The sequence below is a fragment of the Homo sapiens genome, chromosome 8, assembly GCF_000001405.40.
Source record: "Homo sapiens chromosome 8, GRCh38.p14 Primary Assembly".
In the NCBI taxonomy this organism is placed as follows: Eukaryota; Metazoa; Chordata; class Mammalia; order Primates; family Hominidae; genus Homo; species Homo sapiens.
The window spans coordinates 131,504,248-131,505,675 of record NC_000008.11 but is presented as its reverse complement, the minus strand read 5'-3'; the positions used below and the strand labels follow the sequence as shown (position 1 = coordinate 131,505,675).

Genomic DNA, 1,428 nt, shown 5'->3' with positions numbered 1-1,428 from the left:
ATAATCCATGAATTGGACAGCCTGGGAATACAACGTTGAAGTGGTGATATACGGGGACTAATCTCCACAACATGAGTAAAAATTGTCCAGGCAGAAACTTGCACAAGTGTATTCTCAGCAAAGGAGGCAGCTGGAGCAAAGTTGTAGGGATATTAAGGAATATAAACCATTTGAAAAACTGCTGGTGCTTCATTGTAGCTGGATAATATAGTGGAAATCAGAAGTGGCTGAGGAGAGGCTACCAAGGACAAAAGCAGATTGTGGAGGGCCTGTGGAGGGGAGAGATCGCCACTCAATCCCCAAAAGAACCCCTTCCCCTATCCAAGCAATCTAAATGTTCTTCTAATAATACAATCAAAATACAAGCCATGATCTTTCTATACCTGAGGACAAGCTTCCCCTTGCAAACAGATTGCTTCACCTCTCAACACCATCCATTCTTGGTAGAAAATATTGAAGTATGTATCTATACATATATGTACATATTCTTAAGGGAGAAAGGGCAAGATAGGTCAGATAACTCTCCAAACAAAGCTGACTGCTAATCTTGGATCGAGCCTTTGGGCCAGGAGTTGTTATTGTTTCCAGGGAATATGTTATTGATGGGGATGGAGTGGGTTGACATTGGTGTTAGAAATGTAAGGCTTCAGGTGAGGCTGTTGCTTATTGGCCGGCTTTCAGAGGCTGTGGCCTAGAGTGACTGGCTAGATGGCAAAGCTGAGGGTGTCACTTGCTGGCTGGCTTTCAGTAGCATGTTCCCTGAAGCAAGCTGTCAGTAATGATTAGACTGAGGGAGCTGTCACTGGTCAAGCAGGCTTAAAACCATTTCTCCTTTACATAACTGGCCACAGTCTTCCCCTAGGGGTATTTGGGGACCATGTTGGTGCTTGGACTTATGAGCAATGAGGAGTCACTGAAGGCTTTTATGAAGAGTGATAAGATTTGTAACTTGAAAAGGCTATTTTGACCTGAGTGAGATGATAGTGGAGGGATAAATGCTCAGTGTCCAGTCAGCAGCTCTTCTAATAGAGAATGGAAGGAGTCCTGGGGGAAAGTGAGTTTTCAGAGAAGGTGGTTAGTGTCTGCAGGCTGGAGAATGTGAGAAGCCATAAAACAAAGCTCCACAGATTCAAAAGAATTGAAACTATTCACCGGACATGATGGAATTAATTTAGAAATCAATGACAGAAAGACAGTAAGAGAATCTTTAAACATGTGGAATGCAAACAGCAAACTTTTAAATAAACCATAGATGAAAGAGGAAGTCTGAAATGAAATAAAACAATATACAGCACTGAAGAAAACAAAAACCTGTTATATCAAAGTTCATGGGACACAGTTACAGCAGTGCTGAAAGGAAAATTTACACTAACTGCTTTCATTAGAAACAAGAAAAAAACTCAAATCAATATCTTAAGCTTCTACCTC

The 1,428-nt window shown here is 41.4% G+C and overlaps 1 annotated feature.

The window, feature by feature from the left end:
• Positions 644-831: a silencer, noted in NCBI's record as "fragment chr8:132517092-132517279 (GRCh37/hg19 assembly coordinates)". NCBI's record gives its function as "represses an EF-1alpha promoter that drives an FKBP-Casp9 reporter gene in an ReSE screen in HepG2 liver carcinoma cells {active_cell/tissue: HepG2}" and the evidence as "EXISTENCE:reporter gene assay evidence [ECO:0000049][PMID:32094911]".